Below are 23,939 nucleotides of genomic sequence, written 5' to 3'. Positions count from 1 at the left end.
ATGCCACCACACCTGACTAATCCATTTATTTTTTGTAGAGGCAGGGTCTTGCTGTGTTACCCAGGCTGGTCTCAAACTCCTGACCTCAAGTGATCTCCTGCCTCAGCCTCCCAAAATGCTGACTACACGCGTAAGCCATTGCACCTGGTCCATGCTCCTAATTTTAGAGGTAAACCATTCAGTCTTTCAACATTAGATAAGATGCTAGCTATAGGAATTTTGTCGATGCCCATTATCAGGTTGAGAAAGTTCCCTTTAATTTCTATTTAGCTAAGAGATTCTGTTACTACAAATGGATGTTGACATTTATCAAATGCCTTTTCTGCATCTATCGAGATGATAGTAGAGTTTGTCTTCTTTAGTTTGATATGATGATTTTTTTTTTACTTTAATTTTTAGGGTACATGTGCCCAACGTGCAGGTTTGTTACATATGTATACATGTGCCATGTTGGTGTGCTGCACCCATTAACTCGTCATTTAACATTAGGTATATCTCCTAATGCTATCCCTCCTCCCTCCCCCCACCCCGCAACAGGCCCCGGTGTGTGATGTTCCCCTTCCTGTGTCCATGTGTTCTCATTGTTCAATCTCCACCTATGAGTGAGAACATGTGGTGTTTGGTTTTTTGTCCTTGCGATAGTTTGCTGAGAATGATGGTTTCCAGCTTCATCCATGTTCCTACAAAGGACATGATTTTTTATGGCTGCATAACTCATCATTTTTTATGGCTGCATAGTATTCCATGGTGTCTATGTGCCACATTTTCTTAATCCAGTCTATCATTGTTGGACATTTGGGTTGGTTCCAACCTGCCATTCCCAGGATAGACCCCATTTGTCATAACATATGTTTTTCATACATTGTTCAATGTGGTTTGCTAAAATTTTTTAAGAATTTTTGTATCTATTTTCATGAGGAATATTGGTCTATAGTTTTCTTATAATCTCTGTCTGATTTTAGTATCAGGGTAATGTTGCTCTCAGAATGAGTTGGGAAGTATTCCCTCGTCTTCAGTTTTCTGGAAGAGTTTCTGTATAATTGGTATCATTTCTTCCTTAAATGTTTAGTAAAATTCACCAGTGAAGCCATCTGGGCCTAGAGTTTTCTTTGTGAGAAAGTTTTTAATTACACATTTAACTTATTTATTAGATATAAGGCTATTCAGGTTAGCTGTTTCTTTTTCAGTAAGCTTTACTAGTTAGTGTCTTTCATGGAATTTGTTCATGTCATCTAAATTGTTGAAATTACCAGCCTAAAGTTATTCACAATATTCCCTCATTATCCTTTTAATCTGCAGACTGTGATTTTTCTTCTCTCATTCCTGATATTGGAAATTTGTATCATCTCTCTCTCTATCTAAATGTTTTTCAATTTTATGGATCTTCTCCAAGAACCACATTCTGCCTTAATTGGTTTTCTATTATTTTTCTGTTTCCTATTTCACTGATTTATTCTGTTATCTTTATTATCTCTTTTCTTCTTACTTTTGACAAAATTTGCTCATATTTATTTCTGGTTTTTATGACAGGAGCTTAGTTCATTGATTTAAGACTTTTCTTCTTTTCTAATATAGACATTTTAGTGCTATAAATTTTCCTCTAAGTATTGCTGTAGCTGCAACTCACAAATTTTGATATGTTCATTTTTTCATTTTTATTCAGTCAAAATACTTTCTAATTTCCTCTTTCATTTGTTCTTTGGCCCATAAGTCATTTTTAGGTGTGTTTTGGTTTCCAAATATTTTAGCTTCCACATTCCCTTCTATTGTTTCTAATATAATTTCATTGTGATCAGAGAATATACTTTGTAGGATTTGAATAATTTTAATTTATTGATACTTGTTTTATGGTTCAGAATTTTTCTTGATAAATCTTCCATGTGCACTTGAAAGGAAGTATATTCCACTGTTGTTGAGTGGAGTGTTCTATAAATATCAATTAAGTCAAATTAGTTGATAGTGTTCTTCATGCTTCTATATAATTACTGATTTTCCATCTCTGTTTTATCAATTACTGAGAAATGGATTTTAAAATCTCTGATGATAATTGACTATTTCTTCTTGAAGTTTTATCAGTTTTTCTTAGAATTGTAATGTCCTCTTGATAAGGTGACCTTGCCTGGATTCCCTCTACTCTGCTGTGACCTGGAAACTTTCCCCAGGCTTTAAGTTAGGAAAATTGTATTGCTTCCTTCATTTATCTTTCCTGTAGTGCAGTGGATGGAAACCTTTTTTTTATTTATTTTAAGTGACAAAAGTGGGAGGGTAAATCCAATCCACGTTACTCCATCTTGGCCAGAGAATCATGAAGGCAATAACTGAGTATAGACTGAAAAGAGATAAGGAAGCAATATCTGGGACAGCACACTCCAGAGAGAGGAAACTCTGAGGTGAGTATGTATCTGGCAAGCTTGTGGAACATCAAGGAGGCCAGTGTGGCTAGAGCAGAGAGAGTAAGGGGAATAGCAAGAGATGAGATCAGAGATCATTTAGTCCCTCTCTGGCCTGTGGCTTACTCTGAGCAAGATGGGAGCCACTATAGGGTGTTAAGAAGAGGAGTGACATGCTCAGACTCAGACTCCTGTTTTAAAATGTTCACTGTCTACTGAGTTGACAATAGACTGTAGAACAAGCTTGTCCAACCTGCAGCCCATAGGCCACATGCAGCCTAGGATGGCTTTGAATGCAGCCCAACACAAATTCGTAAACTTTCTTAAAACCATATAAGATTTTTTTTTGCTATTTTTTTTTAGCTCATAAGCTATCTTTAAGGTTAGTGTATTTGATGTGTGGCCCAAGACAATTCTTCTTCAAACGTGGCCCAGGGAAACCAAAAGATTAGACACCCTGCTGTGGGGTATTAAGAGTAGAAGCAGTTGTGTCAGTCAGGAGGCTAGTACTACCAGCAACAAATGATGGCAGTTTGACCAGGATAGTAGCAGTGGAGATGATAAAGTATGCAGACTCTTATTATAATCTGAAGATAAAATTGGTAGGATTTACTAACAGTTTGCCTGTGAGGATGAGGGGAAAAAAAGAAGTTAAGAAATATCTAGTGTCCTTTGCATTATACCATACTATTTATCTTTTGTGTTTAGCAAAAAGGTCTGGGGGTTATCTCTCCTATTATTGCTGCTACAGAATGAGCACTTGTATATTTAATGCTTTTTCTCCTACTCCTTTCCCAATGATCCAACACATATTAGCTCCTGTGAAAATTTATTGGGTGTAAGAATTAAAGCATATGAGACTCCCTTTTCAAGTTGAAAAGTGGGTTTGGTGGAGATGTGGATCAAACCACAGCTAACCTCTGTGTTTCTTAGGATAGGGGCCACGGAATCTATATTTAAATTAACATCTAAAGGGCCTTCCCTTAACTACCATTCTCAAAATAGAGATCCAGCCTGCCTTATGACTCACAACCCCATTTGACAAGCAGCTCAGCTTAGACTCCAGATTGCTGGGTTGTGGAACTAATAGGTGAGGGAACCAGTCCTACAGCAAGCAAGTCCTAAACTTGGCTGGTATGTACCTGCCTCAACTTGCCTCTGGCTTTACACAAAGACCTAATTTGGTTGGGCTTTGCTTCAGGTGAACTGCAGCTCCTAGTAGCCTTGAGAAGCTGGCTGGAGAAAGAAACAGCTGAAATTAATATGTCAACTTTACATTTAGGCAGAGGAAAGCTTTAAAGCTGCAGAGTATCCACTCACAGAAGACCTTCAGTCAACAAATGTCTCCCTGCTACTTAGACCAAGCTGGAACCATTTATTACTCCCTGTTGGAATTCTATAGGATAGGAAGGCAAGAGCCAGGAAGTAGAGAAGTCAGGAGATCTACAATCCATTGAAAACTACTGGGAATCTGGCTCCTTATAAAAGAGAAGGAACAGAAAATGTATTCTATCTATAAAACTCCAAAAGATTCCATAGATTTAAGATCTGAGACAAGTAAGTCTTCCTAGTGAGGATCAAGTGACTAAGAACCACAGACAACCAAGAAGAGGCTTACAGTGGCTAGTGCAACCAGAGCAAATAAGATTATGGATTGGAGAACCGGATAAATATACTATAAATCCCCTGCTCCCAGAGAATCAGTCATAGACTAAGTGAACTAGAAAGAAGGAGAGAATCTATGTATCCCGCAGGCAAATTCAGGGACTATGCTTTGACCTGCTGCCCTAAAAGTAAGTGGGTGTGATCTGAGGATTCTATCTTCATCATAGGCAGAGTTTGCATCATTATCATTAGCATCATAAACAATATCAAGATTATTGGCATTGTATTCATCTTTAATCAATGTGGCCCACTAGCCAACTGAGCCAGAACCAAGATGCACTTCCAAGCAGACCAATCACAGGCCATGTTTTTACAGTATTAGATGCCCAGAGATGTTGATTAATCCCAACACAATGTGATTGGGATTAATATATGATTTTAATTCTCAAAACAAAACTTGTAACAGTGATTTTTATGATGATGATGTCATCCACTAAACAGAAAATATAGTCTTTCTAACAAATGCAAAAAATATTACTTTTTAAAAATTTGTGTAAAAACAAAAATTTCTATGATTTATTGAATGGCTGTTCTGTTCCAGGCACTTGACTTAACTCTTTTAAGCTTTGTAACAACCCTGCAAAGAAAATTTCCCCCATTCTCAGAGATGTGAAGTTACATAATTAGTAAATGGCTGAAGCAGAATTCCAACCCAGATCTTTCAGATTCCAATGTCTATACTCTTAGTCACTGGGCTAAACTGCTTTGCTATGAATGTTTTTGTTTTAGTTTTTAGGAAAAAGCCAAGAAACATACTCCTTTAAGAGTCCTACCCTGTGTGTTCCCTGATTTCTTCTATGTGGACCAGATCTAGGAAACAGGTATGAGAAAGTCCTTATTAGAAAAGTCTAGGCTAATAGTTCCTCCTCTTGCAGCAAAGGTCCCAAGCCCTGCTCTCCATGAATACACCTGCCTTTCAAATCATACCCATCTCAGAAAGGAGTGGGATGTCATCAATGACCACTTAAAAAGTTAAGTATTAGTTTCCCTAGGCCAAGGCCCTGGAGCCTCAGGTAGCAGATTCTGCTCCAAGCATCTTTGGCTTGTATAAAACTTGGGGTATTGAGTGGGGCAAGTGGATTACAGAACACAGTCATTCCCTGAGATCTTAGTCACCCTATAACAGCTATGTAAAATAATTACTCTATCTGCCTTTTGTAATTATCTTGCCAAATGGTGATCTAGTATCACTTTTTCAAGACAAGAGTCTCCAAGGAAGAAAACTTACCCCTGAAGAAAAAAATGAGACATTTGCAGATGTGTTTTTCCACAGATCCCACTTCACTGTCTTTTCTCTCAGAGACCAATGTTCAGAAGTTACTTAAACTGAGCAGTCCCAGGAAATCTAGGCACTGAAGAATAATTAGTGCCAGAGTCAAGAAATAAGCACATGGGAGGAGTGACTTTATTCACAATAGGTAAAATAAACATAATTAATTTTTAAAAGGAGAACAAATGAAATTAAGATAGATAATTGCAATAATCAATAATATTGTTGGTTTAATTCATAAATTAAAGTTCAAGCCTGATGCCATAACTCATAGGTCTTATATTTATTTTTCCCTTATCCTGTTAAAAGATGTGTGAGGCAGCCCGAGATATAATTTTTGCCTATTCTTTTCTCATCCATGAGGCATGAAATATCAGCCCTACCGAGTAATGTGGAGCAAATCTATTCCAGTTAAAACTTACAGTGATTTAAGGACAGACAGATGTATATTCACAATATTTGTGCACAATACACCCTGGTCAATATCAAATGGCAAATCCTCAATATCTTTTCAAATAGGTGAGTGTCAAGATCATTTAAGGGTAGTGACAAATAATCCCAAACTCATAAATAATTCCAAACCAATACAATTTCACTAAGGACACTGCACTTAGCACTAGGCATTCCATGTTATAGATCTTCAACAATGTATAGTAAATACCTGTCACCAGGTATAGTAAATACTATACGTTGTTATAGGAGTATGGAAGAGAGTGTGTGTGTGTGTGTGTGTGTGTGTGTGTGTGTGTGTGTGTGTGTGATGTATACATAACCCTTCAACAGTTTTCCTGATGCTCAAATCCCAGGCCAAGCTTCCATCTTGGTCTGGCTTCATTATACTGCTTCACACATTCTCAGACTGCCTCACCACTGGAAGCACATTCCTACAAGAAGGGTCATGATATCATAGAACAGCCTCAAAAAAAAAAAAATGCCTGCTGAAGTAAATTACTGACAGCCACTGGACAAAAGGCAGTCTGGTTACTTTAAATTCATACTCAACAATGAACTCCCCCTTTTTTTTACCTTATCAGTTATTCACTTGACTTACAAACTCTAAATGCATATTGTTTCAAAAAATCAAATGTATGACTTAAAAGCTGGTATTTTCATCTACCAATTGACATTCAAAAGAATGTAATGTTCCAAATGCTCTGAATGCCCCAACACTTTAAGCATATACTTGCAGCCTTTTAGAGAAATTATTTTGATTACACAGATTCTAGATTGTTTGTTTTAAGGGAAAAAAAAATCAGTTGCATTACTTAATAATCATAACGTGCAATTTGTCAAAATACAAATTCCAGCTCATCTAGTGAAACTAGAGTTCCAAAGCTATCCACATTCCTTCCCATTCAGTCAGGTTTAGCTAGCCAGTAAGTTTCCAAATCCATCATGGAGCAACCTTCTCTCTGTCATCACAGGTTGTTGATATCGTAGCTCTGAGGAACATCTGAGCTTCTGAGACCCAGCTTCTGAGATCCAGTAAAGTTCAACAAGCATTAGTAGGTCCCAGATGGCACATTTCAGCTGAACCTGGACAAGTCACTAAAGCCCTATAGTGCATTCTGAAAGCCTGGGCGTGTCACCAGGTATCCTCTTTGTGAGACCCCGCTGCTCCAGTACATTGATCTTAAGATACCAACAATGATGTGGTAAAATAAAAATGAAATCCTGGGGTGAGAGCATTCTCAGCCAGTGTAGCTAGTGGATCCAGTTTCCTCAGGGACTCTACATAATGGAAATTTTAAGTTCCTTTGAAGGTTGAGTTCCAAAAGCTGGCCTTCAATTTCACCTAAGAAGAGAGACCACAAGGAGGGAATGGAGTTAAGAATCATCTCCATGAACCATCATTCCCAAAACTTATTGATAATTTTCTAAGTCAGATTAAACTTGACAGTATGAAGAAAAGACAGGAAAATATATTGAAGTCTTATTATGTGCTAAGCATTATCCTAATGTTACCAAATTCTAAGATGTCTGTAATTGTCCCTATTTCACAGGTGTGAAAACAGAGACAGACTTAGAAATGTTCCCAAGATATTACAGGTAGTGTATGTTGGAGCTATAATACAAATTAATCTATCTGTCTTACTGCAAAGTCAATGTTTCTTCTACCACATCATACTACAAGCCAAGAACATCTCCCTAAACTGCTCTTACAGAAAACAGACATTTAATACACATCAGTGTCCCTGAATCAGTTCTCAGGTATCAGCTGTAAGTTGAGTTCATTGAAAACCCCCCAAATAGGAGTTCCAAATAGTTACAACATAGAGAAAATGTTTGGTTCTTATGATAGACAAAGACCCACTTGGGCCCTAAGGCAAGTTCTTAATTTGAACATGACAAGAAGTAAAACAGACTATTTTAACTTGGAGAACCTCCACCACCTTAAATAGGATGAAAAAAAATTAGCACGCATGGTGGCACGTATCTATAGTCCTACCTACTTGGGAGGCTGAGGCAGAAGGATCACTTGAGCCTGGGAAATCGAGGCTGTGTTGAGTCATGATCATACCACTGCACTCCAGCCTGGGTGACAAAGTGATATGCTGCCTCAAAATAAATAAATAAATAAATAAAAAATTAAAAAAATAAAATTAAAATTAAAAAAAGGATGAGATGTAGAAACAAAACTTATCTGGCATGCAGTGGAAAAGCCAAAATCTGGAACTTTCACAGGTCCAATTAAAGTTACTTTTAACATTCTAAGGTATAGCTTCCTCTTCAAGAATCCAGTGGCCAACGGTGCATAAGCTTCACCAAATGGGCCTAAAATCAAAGAGTCTGGTAGTGCCTAGAGCCTGAGCAATGTAGACATGGAATGAGCAGAAGGTGATGAGATGAGTAGAACAAGGCAGGAAGGAGGCCCAGACACAGAGAAATGGTGTAACTGACTGTGCCCTACCTCTGGACTTCAGGCCTCTGCTTTGTTGAGCTAAATAATCTTTCAGAACCCAGGAGGGCAAAAGTTTCTGCAGGTATCAACTCAATTCTTAAAACCAGCACTTGGATTTCTTTCCAAAGTGTGCATAGGTGTCTGTGAAATGGGGACAATAATTGTTCTCCAAAATCGCAGCTGAAACGACCTGCTATCTGTCCACTTGGACCCTGATACTAATAACACCTATGATTATTACAGAGGGTAAACTAAGGCATTAAGAAGTGAGGAAACTCACTTAAGGACATAGACATCATAAGAACAATAACTCAATTGCACATACTCTGTACACACACACACACACACAACGAACTGTATACTTTAACCCATTTCCCAATTAGGGAAAAAAAGTGCAGCTCACTGCCAGCACAGTATTCTGGGGGCAAACACAAAACAGATTAAAAGGTTGAAATTTATGATATGTGAATTATATCCCAAAAAAGGTGGTTTATTTTCAGAACCATGACTTACCTTCTAGGCAATGCTTTTGACAGAGGTGTAGTATTTCTACCTTTAAAAGCCACTAGTAAGTGGCTTCTAACTCATTTTTATCAAACATTATCAAGTACTTTCTTTGTGTAAAATGCTGTGATAGATTGTATGAAATATTTATCAAAATAAGTTTGCAGTAATTATATAGTGTACTAAGAATGTATTATATGCCAGGCAGGTACTAAGCAATTTCATATGTTAAGTAATTGCCACCTGTTAGGTAAGTGTTATTGTTCCCATTCTATAATTTGGGAGACTGAGGCTGAGAAGATTAGATAATTGTACAAGAAATGCAGTAAGAGGCAAAATTGAGATTAGAACTTAGGTCTTTCTGACTATAATTTTATCCATTATGCTAAGCAAGTAGAAGAGGAAGAGAGACCTAAATGCAAAGAATACAAAAGACTGAATAATGGAGTTCTGAACTATGGAGGAGTTTCAGAGTTCTCAACTATAATGCTGGAGTGACAGTGCAAAAATGCTTTAAAATTCTGTCTCAGTGTGGAGTCTGGGGCCTGAAAGTCTTTCTGACACAGCAGCCATCTTAACAAAAATGCACTTCCAAAAGATGCATATGATTGAAAATGACCATAGTATCCAACAGCAACCATAACTTTCTGTGTGGTTGTTTTGGTCTAGGATTCCTTGGCTATGTGAGCAATTGACATATTTCAAGGGCCTATTCATTAACATTTTATGAACAGACACTCATTCTTAGTGTTTACCAAGCTCTAGGTGCTGCCTAGATGGTGGAATGAATAAGATATGATGACTGGCCCAAAGCAATGCCCAGATAGGAGTTTATTGACTCCATATATGTAGAATATATATGGTTAAGTGCTAGGCTTTAGCATCGGCTAGCATGTGTATCTGTTCTAGTGCTGCTACTAACTAGCTGCGATTTGTAACAAATGTTTACATTGCTCTATGCTTTTATTACCTTATCTATAAAATGGGGTTATTTTGAGGAATAAATAGATAAGCATGTAAACCTACCATGTATAGAAGATAGTAAGCACTTAGCACTTAATGGTAGCTGCTATCCTCCTCATCATCATCATTATCACCTGGTAGCAAAGTACAGCAGAATTGGCTCTCCATGCTTAAGACTTACAGCTCTCTGATTATTTTTGTTACCCTCAAGTGTATTTGATATACTTTCTGTACATAAGTGAACATTTTCCCAAGGGTCCAGGCCCTAAACATGCCAGACTACCAGTGGATCGCAGAGTGCTGGAAGAAAGCTCACTCTAAATTCACCCTGAACATATCTGAAAACATTATTTTTATATATAGCCAATTACACTTTTCTAGCCTAGAAATGAGCCTTCACAAGGTCAGAGAATGTTTCCTCTCTTCCTAACAGCACTCTGTATGTTACTTTTTTATATTATTTGCGTTTGAGTGGGCCTTACACTCCTAAAATGGTGCATAATTTTTGCATGATAGTTATATATGATAAATACACAGAGGTAAGTTAGTATAATGGTAAACAGCAATTGCAATAAGGTAGATACAGGTTCAACTTCTGGTTTCTCTGCCTACTAGCTATGACCTTGGAGAAGATCCTTATGCTTCCAGAACCTGTCTCTATAAAATGGGATAATAAATACATATCTCGTATGAAGGTTGTGAAGATTAAATGAGGTGATAAGATCTAGTATTTGGTAACATAATATGGTAACTATAGTTAACTATTTATTGTATATTTTTAAATAACTAAAATAGTAGAATTAGAATGTTCCTACTACAAAGAAATGCTTGAGGTGCTGGATACCCCAATTACTGTAATTTGATCATTACACATGGTATGCCCATATCAAAACATCACATGTACCCAACAATTATATACAACTATGTACCCATAACTAAAAGTGCAGATTTTTTAAAGATTGAGATGGTTTGTTTAAAGTATTTAGCACATAGTAAATTCTCAATAAATGTCACTTTTTATTATTACAAAAAAGACATGAATTAGATGAACCTAGTGGCTCAGGTTCATTTTCAATTAAATAAGCATTTATTGTGCACCTTCCAAGTATCTTACACTCTGCTACTTTCTGTGGGTACTAGTTAAAAGAAATGTATAACATGAGTCCTCTAAAACAAAGTCTGTGCTTTTCACATGTATATGACCCTGAAAAAAAAGGTATCTTGCAACCATGTCCTCGTACTGGAAGGTGGGGCTGGTACTAGCCTTTCTGCAATCATCTGTAGATAACAATGTGAAGGAGGAAGGTAAATATGTAGAGGTGGAGTTAGGTTTGATGGAAAATGAATCACCTCATTCACTATAATCACTATAAGCTATATAAGGGTCATTATCCCAATCCATCGTCACCCTGCAAGCTGCATCAGGCTTTATCCTACTTGTTCCTTTGGTGAACCAGGTGAGAGAAAATTCATCCAGCTACATTTATGAATATTTGGTGTTGTCCATAGTAGAAGTCTAGGGATATAAGCTAAGGCAGAGTTCATGTATATTTTGCCTTTCTTTTCTTTTTTGTTTCTTTCTTTCATTTTCTTTTCTTTTTGTTTGCTTATTTGTTTGGTTAGTTTAGTTTATTCTGGGGCCTTTTTGTAGTTAAGTTCATTTTTATGGAGAAGAATAATGCAAGTAAAAGTTCACCTTCCTCTAGGCCATTCCACAGTCTGTTCCGAGTCTTTTTCCATGCCCTCTTTTCTGGGCTGTCCAGCTCAAACTGGGAGGCAGCTGGGTCTGTTGCAGAGTCCCTTCCTTATTCAGTGTTGGTTCCCAGAGCTCCAAGATCTAATTATCCACTAGTTAAACTGCTGCCTGCATTGCTGAGCTCTTCTTCTTGATTAATTAAAGAAAACAGTGTTTGGTCAAGTGCTTGACATTAAGAGAGTTCCTAAGCTCTACTGAGTTCTACTGTCTCATGCCTATGAAACACCAAGCTATTTTGAGCCCCTTTGCCCATTTTTAATTTGCTGAAGGCCTTAAGGGTCCAGTTTAGCTTCTGGTGCCCAGAGGATAAACAGATGTGCATGGTGGAAGGTCTGTCACTTTTGACTCAAGAAAAGCAGTGAAACTAGAAAGAGAGATTGAGGCAATGGTGTCTGGCTGGTTCTGGAAATTTTGGAAGCCTTAGAACAACACCCAGAATGCCAACACACTCAAAGTGTAGAGATACTATGTAGAGACTATACTTACCCATGACAGGAAATATAGAGACTTGAGGTCTATTCTCAGTTGAACCAGTAACATGCCAAGACTTGATCACAGAAAAGTAACTCAAAGTTAACAAAGTTAATTTTCATTGTGTTAAACGGGGTTGTATCATCCCTGGCCCATTCTTACGTTTTGAGATTTAAAAAACAAGAGGTTAAAAAAATCATGCTGGTTATTATTAAAATGAAAATTGCTGATAAAAGGAGAGAATATGAATAATAGGGTTCTTTGTTTTTCTGTGTCCAGGTTCACTTAAACTTGCAAAAAGATGACCGACCTCTTGAGAAGTGTTGTCACCGTAATTGATGTTTTCTACAAATACACCAAGCAAGATGGGGAGTGTGGCACACTGAGCAAGGGTGAACTAAAGGAACTTCTGGAGAAAGAGCTTCATCCAGTTCTGAAGGTGAGAGCCATGTGCCAGAACTGAAGGCTGCTGGAGTCCTGTACAAGCTCTGTTGTATGACCCAGATCAGCTAAAAAGTGCACAGCCCCAGTGAACTCTAAGCAAACTCTATGAGTGGTATTTTGGGGATGCCAGAAAGTCTGTTAAAGCAGCAGATATTTTAAAGAAAGTGAATGTTTCGTCCTCACTTTTCCACCTATGCACTCCTACCTCATAGACTCTCAGACTTTCTCATACACCCAGGCTTTTCCTTAGAAAAAGCAGAAAATAAAATTATACTAGGACACGAATTAATAAATTATCCTATCAAATGGAAAAAAAAGTATAGAAAGGGAAATCATCTACATAGGGAGTTGACAAAATAGCCATGATTAAGAATCAAAAATAAAATGCCAGCATTTTATTCCATCTACTTAAAAAGGACTCAGCTAGGCGCGGTGGCTCATGCCTGTAATCCCAGCACTTTGGGAGGCCGAAGTGGGTGAATCACAAGGTAAGGAGATCAAGACCATCCTGGCTAATACGGTGAAACCCCATCTCTACTAAAAATACAAAAAATTAGCCGGGCGTGGTTGCATGCCCCTGTAGTCCCAGCTACTCGGGAGGCTGAGGCAGGAGAATGGCGTGAACCTGGGAGGCAGAGCTTGCAGTGAGCAGAGATCGCACCACTGCACTCCAGCCTGGGCTACAGAGCAAGACTCCATCTCAAAAAAAAAAAAAAGACTCAGTTATTAACTTCAAAATAATAGATGATAAATTCCAACATGGAAGATATTAACATGTAATAGTTACAATTTATGTAAAACTTAGAAATACCAGTTACTGAACTTAGTTTATTCCACTCCTTCCTGTAGGCCTTACCTAAGCACTTAATCCTTTAGCCTAAATCCTTGAAATGTCTTCTTCTGAGGATCCCAGTAGTCTTTATTTTCTATTAACCCTTAACATTTACTGGGTTCTATTAACCTAAAGTAATCCTTTATTGGACTAAAACTACATCATGTCAAACATCCATAATTTCACAGCGCTATTTAAATGTGTTAGTTGAGTATGCAGGTTAGGCTGACCAGGTCTCCCTTGGTGTGTCACTCATATACAGAACCCAGATGATCCAGACACAGTGGATGTCATCATGCATATGCTGGATCGAGATCATGACAGAAGATTGGACTTTACTGAGTTTCTTTTGATGATATTCAAGCTGACTATGGCCTGCAACAAGGTCCTCAGCAAAGAATACTGCAAAGCTTCAGGGTCAAAGAAGCATAGGCGTGGTCACCGACACCAAGAAGAAGAAAGTGAAACAGAAGAGGATGAAGAGGATACACCAGGACATAAATCAGGTTACAGACATTCAAGTTGGAGTGAGGGAGAGGAGCATGGATATAGTTCTGGGCACTCAAGGGGAACTGTGAAATGTAGACATGGGTCCAACTCCAGGAGGCTAGGAAGACAAGGTAATTTATCCAGCTCTGGGAACCAAGAGGGATCTCAGAAAAGATACCACAGGTCCAGCTGTGGTCATTCATGGAGTGGTGGCAAAGACAGACATGGTTCCAGCTCTGTAGAACTGAGAGAAAGAATAAACAAGTCACACATTAGCCCTTCTAGGGAATCTGGGGAGGAGTATGAATCTGGATCTGGATCAAACAGTTGGGAAAGGAAAGGTCATGGTGGTCTGTCATGTGGATTGGAGACTAGTGGGCATGAATCAAACTCTACTCAGTCAAGAATTAGAGAACAAAAGCTTGGGTCTAGCTGTTCAGGTTCAGGAGACAGTGGGAGGCGAAGTCATGCATGTGGTTATAGCAATTCAAGTGGGTGTGGAAGGCCACAAAATGCTTCAAGTTCTTGTCAGTCACATAGATTTGGAGGGCAAGGAAATCAATTTAGCTATATTCAGTCAGGCTGTCAGTCAGGAATTAAGGGAGGACAAGGCCATGGCTGTGTCTCAGGAGGTCAGCCCTCTGGATGTGGTCAACCTGAGTCTAACCCCTGTAGTCAGTCCTATAGTCAGAGAGGATATGGAGCTAGAGAAAATGGTCAACCACAGAACTGTGGAGGACAATGGAGAACAGGCTCAAGTCAGTCCTCTTGCTGTGGACAATATGGGTCTGGAGGTAGCCAGTCTTGTAGTAATGGTCAACATGAATATGGTTCCTGTGGCCGCTTTTCAAACTCTTCTAGTTCAAATGAATTTTCCAAATGTGATCAATATGGGTCTGGTTCAAGTCAGTCTACTAGCTTTGAACAACATGGAACAGGCTTGAGTCAGTCCTCTGGGTTCGAACAACATGTATGTGGCTCAGGTCAAACTTGTGGCCAGCATGAGTCTACATCAAGTCAATCCTTGGGCTATGACCAGCATGGGTCTAGCTCAGGTAAGACATCTGGCTTTGGACAACATGGGTCTGGCTCAGGTCAGTCCTCTGGCTTTGGACAATGTGGGTCAGGCTCAGGTCAGTCCTCTGGCTTTGGACAGCATGGGTCTGTCTCAGGACAATCCTCTGGTTTTGGACAGCATGGGTCTGTCTCAGGACAATCCTCTGGTTTTGGACAACATGAGTCTAGATCACGTCAGTCTAGCTATGGCCAACATGGTTCTGGCTCAAGTCAATCATCTGGCTATGGCCAATATGGGTCTAGAGAGACATCTGGCTTTGGACAACATGGGTTGGGCTCAGGTCAATCCACTGGCTTTGGCCAATATGGATCGGGCTCAGGTCAGTCCTCTGGCTTTGGACAACATGGGTCTGGCTCAGGACAATCCTCTGGCTTTGGACAACATGAGTCTAGATCAGGTCAGTCTAGTTATGGCCAACACAGTTCTGGCTCAAGTCAGTCATCTGGCTATGGCCAACATGGGTCTAGACAGACATCTGGCTTTGGACAACATGGGTCAGGCTCAAGTCAATCCACTGGCTTTGGCCAATATGGATCAGGCTCAGGTCAGTCCTCTGGCTTTGGACAACATGTTTCTGGCTCAGGACAATCCTCTGGTTTTGGACAACATGAGTCTAGATCAGGTCATTCTAGCTATGGCCAACATGGTTTTGGCTCAAGTCAATCATCTGGCTATGGTCAACATGGGTCAAGTTCAGGACAGACATCTGGATTTGGACAACACGAGTTAAGCTCAGGTCAGTCTTCCAGCTTTGGCCAACATGGATCAGGCTCAGGTCAGTCCTCTGGCTTTGGACAACATGGGTCTGGCTCAGGACAATCCTCTGGCTTTGGACAACATGAGTCTAGATCAGGTCAGTCTAGCTATGGCCAACACAGTTCTGGCTCAAGTCAGTCATCTGGCTATGGCCAACATGGGTCTAGACAGACATCTGGCTTTGGACAACATGGGTCAGGCTCAAGTCAATCCACTGGCTTTGGCCAATATGGATCAGGCTCAGGTCAGTCCGCTGGCTTTGGACAACATGGGTCTGGCTCAGGACAATCCTCTGGCTTTGGACAGCATGAGTCTAGATCACATCAGTCCAGCTATGGCCAACATGGTTCTGGCTCAAGTCAATCATCTGGCTATGGTCAACATGGGTCAAGTTCGGGACAGACATCTGGCTTTGGACAACACAGGTCAAGCTCAGGTCAATACTCTGGCTTTGGACAACATGGATCAGGCTCAGGTCAGTCCAGTGGCTTTGGACAACATGGGACTGGCTCAGGACAATACTCTGGTTTTGGACAACATGAGTCTAGATCACATCAGTCTAGCTATGGCCAACATGGTTCTGGCTCAAGTCAGTCATCTGGCTATGGTCAACATGGGTCAAGTTCAGGACAGACTTTTGGATTTGGACAACACAGGTCAGGCTCAGGTCAATCCTCTGGCTTTGGCCAACATGGATCAGGCTCAGGTCAGTCCTCTGGCTTTGGACAACATGAGTCAGGCTCAGGAAAATCCTCTGGCTTTGGACAGCATGAGTCTAGATCAAGTCAGTCTAATTATGGCCAACATGGTTCTGGCTCAAGTCAGTCATCTGGCTATGGTCAACATGGGTCTAGTTCAGGACAGACAACTGGCTTTGGACAACACAGGTCAAGCTCAGGCCAATACTCAGGCTTTGGACAACATGGATCAGGCTCAGATCAGTCCTCTGGCTTTGGACAACATGGGACTGGTTCAGGACAATCCTCTGGTTTTGGACAATATGAGTCTAGATCACGTCAGTCTAGCTATGGCCAACATGGTTCTGGCTCAAGTCAATCATCTGGCTATGGTCAACATGGGTCAAATTCAGGACAGACATCTGGATTTGGACAACACAGGCCAGGCTCAGGTCAGTCCTCTGGCTTTGGCCAATATGGATCGGGCTCAGGTCAGTCTTCTGGCTTTGGACAACATGGGTCAGGCACAGGTAAATCCTCTGGCTTTGCACAGCATGAGTACAGATCAGGTCAGTCTAGCTATGGCCAACATGGTACTGGCTCCAGTCAATCATCTGGCTGTGGCCAACATGAGTCTGGCTCAGGTCCAACCACAAGTTTTGGACAGCATGTGTCTGGCTCAGACAATTTCTCTAGTTCTGGACAACATATATCTGACTCAGGTCAGTCCACTGGATTTGGCCAATATGGTTCAGGCTCAGGTCAATCAACTGGCTTGGGCCAGGGTGAATCTCAACAAGTAGAGTCAGGATCCACAGTTCATGGGAGACAGGAAACTACTCATGGTCAGACAATAAATACCACTAGACATAGCCAGTCTGGTCAAGGACAATCCACACAGACAGGGTCCAGGGTAACTAGAAGACGAAGATCTAGCCAAAGTGAGAACAGTGACAGTGAAGTGCACTCAAAGGTCTCACACAGACATTCAGAACACATTCACACACAAGCTGGATCTCACTACCCAAAGTCAGGATCCACAGTTCGCAGAAGACAAGGAACTACTCATGGACAGAGAGGAGATACCACTAGACATGGCCATTCTGGTCATGGACAGTCTACACAGACAGGTTCCAGAACATCTGGAAGACAGAGATTTAGCCACAGTGATGCCACTGACAGTGAAGTGCACTCAGGGGTCTCACATAGACCACACTCACAAGAACAAACTCACAGCCAAGCTGGATCTCAACATGGAGAGTCAGAATCCACAGTTCATGAGAGACATGAAACTACTTATGGACAGACAGGAGAGGCCACTGGACATGGCCACTCTGGTCATGGACAGTCCACACAGAGAGGGTCCAGGACAACTGGAAGAAGGGGATCTGGCCATAGTGAGTCCAGTGACAGTGAAGTGCACTCAGGGGGCTCACACAGACCACAATCACAAGAACAAACTCATGGCCAAGCCGGATCTCAACATGGAGAGTCAGGATCCACAGTTCATGGGAGACACGGAACTACTCATGGACAGACAGGAGATACCACTAGACATGCCCACTATCATCATGGAAAATCCACACAGAGAGGGTCCAGTACAACTGGAAGAAGGGGATCTGGCCACAGTGAGTCCAGTGACAGTGAAGTGCACTCAGGGGGCTCGCACACACATTCAGGACACACTCACGGCCAAAGTGGATCTCAACATGGAGAGTCAGAATCCATAATTCATGACAGACACAGAATTACTCATGGACAGACAGGAGATACCACTAGACATTCCTACTCTGGTCATGAACAAACCACACAGACAGGGTCCAGGACAACTGGAAGACAGAGAACTAGCCACAGTGAGTCCACTGACAGTGAAGTGCACTCAGGGGGCTCACACAGACCACACTCACGAGAACACACTTACGGCCAAGCCGGATCTCAACATGAAGAGCCAGAATTCACAGTTCATGAGAGACACGGAACTACTCATGGACAGATAGGAGATACCACTGGACATTCCCACTCTGGTCATGGACAGTCCACACAGAGAGGGTCCAGGACAACTGGAAGACAGAGATCTAGCCACAGTGAGTCCAGTGACAGTGAAGTGCACTCAGGGGTCTCACACACACATACAGGACACACTCATGGTCAAGCTGGATCTCAACATGGACAGTCAGAATCCATAGTTCCTGAGAGACATGGAACTACTCATGGACAGACAGGAGATACCACTAGACATGCCCACTATCATCATGGATTAACCACACAGACAGGGTCCAGGACTACTGGAAGAAGGGGATCTGGCCACAGTGAGTACAGTGACAGTGAAGGGTACTCAGGAGTCTCACATACACATTCAGGACACACTCATGGCCAAGCCAGATCTCAACATGGAGAGTCAGAATCCATAGTTCATGAGAGACATGGAACTATACATGGACAGACAGGCGATACCACCAGACATGCCCACTCTGGTCATGGACAGTCCACACAGACAGGGTCCAGGACCACTGGAAGAAGGTCATCTGGCCACAGTGAGTACAGTGACAGTGAAGGGCACTCAGGGTTCTCACAAAGACCACACTCACGAGGACACACTCACGGCCAGGCTGGATCTCAACATGGAGAGTCAGAATCCATAGTTGACGAGAGACATGGAACTACTCATGGACAGACAGGAGATACCAGTGGACATTCTCAATCTGGTCATGGACAGTCCACACAGTCAGGATCCAGTACAACTGGAAGAAGGAGATCTGGCCACAGTGAGTCCAGTGACAGTGAAGTGCACTCAGGGGGCTCACATACACATTCAGGACACACACACAGCCAAGCCAGGTCTCAACATGGAGAGTCAGAATCCACAGTTCACAAGAGACACCAAACTACTCATGGACAGACAGGAGATACCACTGAACATGGCCACCCTAGTCATGGACAAACCATACAGACAGGGTCCAGGACAACTGGAAGAAGGGGATCTGGCCACAGTGAGTACAGTGACAGTGAAGGGCCCTCAGGGGTCTCACACACACATTCAGGACACACTCACGGTCAAGCTGGATCTCACTATCCAGAGTCAGGATCCTCAGTTCATGAGAGACACGGAACTACTCATGGACAAACAGCAGATACCACTAGACATGGCCACTCTGGTCATGGACAGTCCACACAGAGAGGGTCCAGGACAACTGGAAGAAGGGCATCTGGCCACAGTGAGTACAGTGACAGTGAAGGGCACTCAGGGGTCTCACACACACATTCAGGACACGCTCATGGCCAAGCCGGATCTCAACATGGAGAGTCAGGATCCTCAGTTCATGAGAGACACGGAACTACTCATGGACAGACAGGAGATACCACTAGACATGCTCACTCTGGTCATGGACAGTCCACACAGAGAGGGTCAAGGACAGCTGGAAGAAGGGGATCTGGCCACAGTGAGTCCAGTGACAGTGAAGTGCACTCAGGGGTCTCACACACACATTCAGGACACACTTATGGCCAAGCCAGATCTCAACATGGAGAGTCAGGATCTGCCATTCACGGGAGACAGGGAACTATACATGGACAGACAGGAGATACCACTAGACATGGCCAGTCTGGTCATGGACAGTCCACACAGACAGGTTCCAGGACAACTGGAAGACAAAGATCTAGTCACAGTGAGTCCAGTGATAGTGAAGTGCACTCAGAGGCCTCACCCACACATTCAGGACACACTCACAGCCAAGCCGGATCTCGACATGGACAGTCAGGATCCTCAGGTCATGGGAGACAGGGAACTACTCATGGACAGACAGGAGATACCACTAGACATGCCCACTATGGTTATGGACAATCCACACAGAGAGGGTCCAGGACAACTGGAAGAAGGGGATCTGGCCACAGTGAGTCCAGTGACAGTGAAGTGCACTCATGGGGCTCACACACACATTCAGGACACATTCAGGGCCAAGCTGGATCTCAACAAAGACAGCCAGGATCCACAGTTCATGGGAGACTGGAAACTACTCATGGACAGACAGGAGATACCACTAGACATGGCCATTCTGGTTATGGACAATCCACACAGACAGGTTCCAGATCTAGTAGAGCAAGTCATTTTCAGTCACATAGTAGTGAAAGGCAAAGGCATGGATCAAGTCAGGTTTGGAAACATGGCAGCTATGGACCTGCAGAATATGACTATGGGCACACTGGGTATGGGCCTTCTGGTGGCAGCAGAAAAAGCATCAGTAATTCTCACCTTTCATGGTCAACAGACAGCACTGCAAACAAGCAACTGTCTAGACATTGACAGTTATTTTCTAGTTCTGACCTTATAGTATCCAAAGCAACTAAAAGAACAGGAAGACACAGTTTAAATCATGAACAGTCAATGGTAAGTTATGAACATTCAGTTGATTCTCAGTATCAGTCTCGACCTATTATTATAAGAAGTCAGGAATCTAGTCATGGACATTCTATAGTAACTCATAAACAGTCAAACAACACCTATGTTCAACCTGGATATAACACAGCCAGAAGGGAGGGATGTACACATAGCCAGTCAAATGACCACCTTGGATTTGGCCATGGACAATCCATATCAGTTCATGGCCATTCAAAATCTAGTTCAATCAGAAAACAGGAATCCCATACTGATAACAAAAAGCATTCAGAAGATTGGGAGAAAGACACTCATGAGCAATTAGGATCTAGGCATGGGAAGTTAGAGTTCAATACAATAGGTATACATGGATCTAGCCAGCAACATTTCGGAGATACAACTTTTCATGGGCAGGTAAGATCCAGCACAGGTTTTGCCAGATAGGTATTAAGTCATGGGCCATCAAGAGATGCCTAGGGTCAGTCTGGATTCAGTACCAATGAAAGACAAGTATACAGCCATGGCCAATCAAATGATAGTTATGAGTAGTCAAATGACAGCAAAAGTCAAAGATACATTTTCAGTCACTTTCTTGACAGCCAAGACCCTGCAGGAATTGAAGAGTATAGGTATAGATATTCATCAAGCAGTGCAACCATATGCAGTGGGGGAGACAAAGGCAAGAGTCAGAGTCAAGTCTGTCAGGAGGTATCAGAATATACGGTGAGGATGTGGGCAAAAAACAAAGAGGCTCTGAGGCCAGCGGTTACCATACAAAGGAAAGAACAGGCTCTGGTTCCTTCTGCTTAGATAGCAACACCCCACTCTATGAATATGTCCAAGAACAAAGGAGTTATTACTTTGAATAAGAAGCCAACATAAACTAGCCCAAGATAAGAACTAACCCAGAGAAGAAATGAGACACATACATGAAATTAAGGTATTTAACATGATCTCCTCTTTTGGTAGTAAGGGTATATGTCTGTTCTTTCATTTTAACTATAGTTCTGTACTATATTACTTTTGTTTGGTGCCAGGTGTTTTTGTAAGGCTCCACATTCATTGAACTCCTTGGTTAGAAAATAGTGAATGAGGCCGGGCGCGGTGGCTCACGCCTGTAATCCCAGCACTTTGGGAGGCCAAGATGGGTGGATCACGAAGTCAGGAGTTCGAGACCAGCCTGGCCAACATAGTGAAATCCCGTCTCTACTAAAAATACAAAAATTAGCTGGGTGCAGTAGCGGGCACCTGTAATCCTAGCTACTCAGGAGGCTGAGGCAGGAGAATTGGTTGAACCCGGGAGGCAGAGGTTGCAGTGAGCCGAGATCGCACCACTGCACTCCAGCCTGGGTGACTGAGCAAGACTCCACCTTGAAAAAAAGAAAGAAAGAAAATAGTGAATGGAAGAAAAAGATAAACACCATTTGGGGCTATATTCAGAACTATATAATAAAGAGAGATTTGTGTGGTTGGGAATAAAATTAGGTTTTAAAAAAATTTCCGAATTTCAAAATTTGGATTTTCCAGATTTTGTTTTAATTAATTATTGACAAACCTATCCAAGGAGCTAAATGACGTGGTTTAGGAGCCAAAACGTCTCTAGAAACATTATAACACATCCCATCCTGAACAAAGAATGTTGTCATAGTTTCCCACATGAATATTCAGAATATTTGCATCTTTTTGTGTCACTACTGGAATTCTGTACAATTATATTTAAATTTATTGTCATGGCCTTCTGGATATAGGATCCAGAAAATTGTACTTCATAAAAATTGGCAATAAACATTTCATCAAGTTATAGTTTCTCTTCTCTTTCATCTCCACAAACACATAGTTTCCTGCCATGGGATCAGATGCAGTTTTCTTCCACCTCCACACAGCTAGATGGCAGTGAAGCACTCAGGTACTAATAATAAGGACTCCAAAGAAGACAAAACTCAACCATATCTGATCTTTTCCTCAATCTAATCGCTGTCCAATGCTTCTGTAAAGCATTTACAGAAAGGCTTTATACTGATGAGTTGACCTCAGATGTTCTGGTTAATCATGATCATCACAGCAATTATTATCAAACATAATCCCAAGAAGCTACTTTCTAAGACAACCCAAGCTCTGGAAATAAGAATTATACACCATGGATTTTCTCTGTCAAAGATATTAATGGAAGAATCACTATCAATAGAAGCTAATTGGGTCCAGAGGTTTCCAGTAGAAGAAAAACAGTTAAAAATATATTATTCCTGCCTATAAGGAGAAAATACATGAATTTATTATGAATAGTGAGAGAAGTAATGATGAGTAGAAGAATTATGTACAAAATGCACTATCCTCAGTAGAAAGTTTACTACTATAAAACCCAAAGAAAATGTGCAGACTGTCAGAACTAGTAAGAACTTTAAAGATTACTTCCTTAATTTGGAAGTTAAAATAAAAAAGCCAAGCACACCGCATTTAATTAAAAGAGTGATAATTCTCACCATTAAATTTGGTGCTATCCAAATTTATCCTCTTTTCACTCAAAAATCAAGCTACTTTTCCTCCACCTTCACTTTTGGAATTCAAACTAAACTGAAATTCATCAGTGAGTGTTCAAAATCACAAGTCCCTATTAGAAGCAGAAGTTACATGAAAACAACAACAACAACAAACAGGCTCATTCTTCTGATTAGACTCAGAATATATCTATCTAATCTAGTTTTTAAATTGTAATATTAAGAAGGACTTGTACTTTATGAACTTTAAATCGTACTATGTAATCAACATAACACTAGTCTGTTAGTTTGCTAGTGAAAAAGCTACTGTTATACTATTAATGATACTCAGCAAAATTACTGTGTATATAGGAGTTAACGCTAGTAACCAATTCATACCAATCTATCTATCACCATTTATTCACTGAATATAAATACTAATTATCAAAGAACAATTAGAAATTTAAATTTGATATTTAATCTCTTTCTATTATAGATAAAGTAAGTCTATACCTATAATAAAAAGAGAAATCCATAGATTTTTATCCTACCTCTGCACAGCTAGATGGCAGTAAAGTAAATCTATGGATTTACTTTATTTACAATAGAAGAGATTAACTTGCTAATTGGAAGTGCTGCTATGACCAAGGTATAGGTTTCTGATTCTCAAGCCAAAGCTCTCTCTCGTGTCAGGGCGTCTGCACTCATTCCATACATCTGTAATTCCATATTCTACCGCTAGACGGCGGTGAAACACTCAGATACTAATGATGAGTCCAAAGAAGGTAAAACTCAACATCTGATCTTTCCCTCAATCTAATCACTGTCTAAAGCATTTACAAGAAAGAAAGGCTTTATTCTCTAAGTATACGTTTACAAATGTCTAAAGTTTCACT

General features: G+C 41.0%; 1 protein-coding gene and 1 long non-coding RNA gene across 8 annotated transcripts in view; one reads left to right on the top strand and one right to left on the bottom strand.

Annotated features, from left to right (window-relative positions):
• Positions 1-4,414: 4,414 nt before the first annotated feature.
• CCDST (cervical cancer associated DHX9 suppressive transcript) overlaps positions 4,415-23,939 on the bottom strand; it is a 177,390-nt gene continuing 157,865 nt past the window's right edge. For 5 of the 7 annotated variants that reach the window (NR_186761.1, NR_186764.1, NR_186763.1 and 2 more), the window contains one exon: positions 5,439-7,120. This is a non-coding gene — a long non-coding RNA (cervical cancer associated DHX9 suppressive transcript). Of the gene's footprint in view, positions 7,121-23,939 lie in introns of all 7 variants that reach the window. The other 2 variants (NR_103778.1, NR_103779.1) reach the window with 1 other exon arrangement.
• FLG2 (filaggrin 2) lies at positions 11,101-22,372 on the top strand. The gene is made up of 3 exons (NM_001014342.3): positions 11,101-11,151; positions 12,201-12,360; positions 13,460-22,372. The coding sequence occupies exons 2-3, from the start codon at positions 12,223-12,225 to the stop codon at positions 20,495-20,497; spliced, it is 7,176 nt and encodes a 2,391-aa protein (NP_001014364.1). The 5' UTR covers positions 11,101-11,151; positions 12,201-12,222; the 3' UTR covers positions 20,498-22,372.

Source organism: Homo sapiens, chromosome 1 (genome assembly GCF_000001405.40).
Source record: "Homo sapiens chromosome 1, GRCh38.p14 Primary Assembly".
Classification (NCBI taxonomy): domain Eukaryota; kingdom Metazoa; phylum Chordata; class Mammalia; order Primates; family Hominidae; genus Homo; species Homo sapiens.
This window is presented reverse-complemented; position numbering and strand designations above follow the sequence as displayed.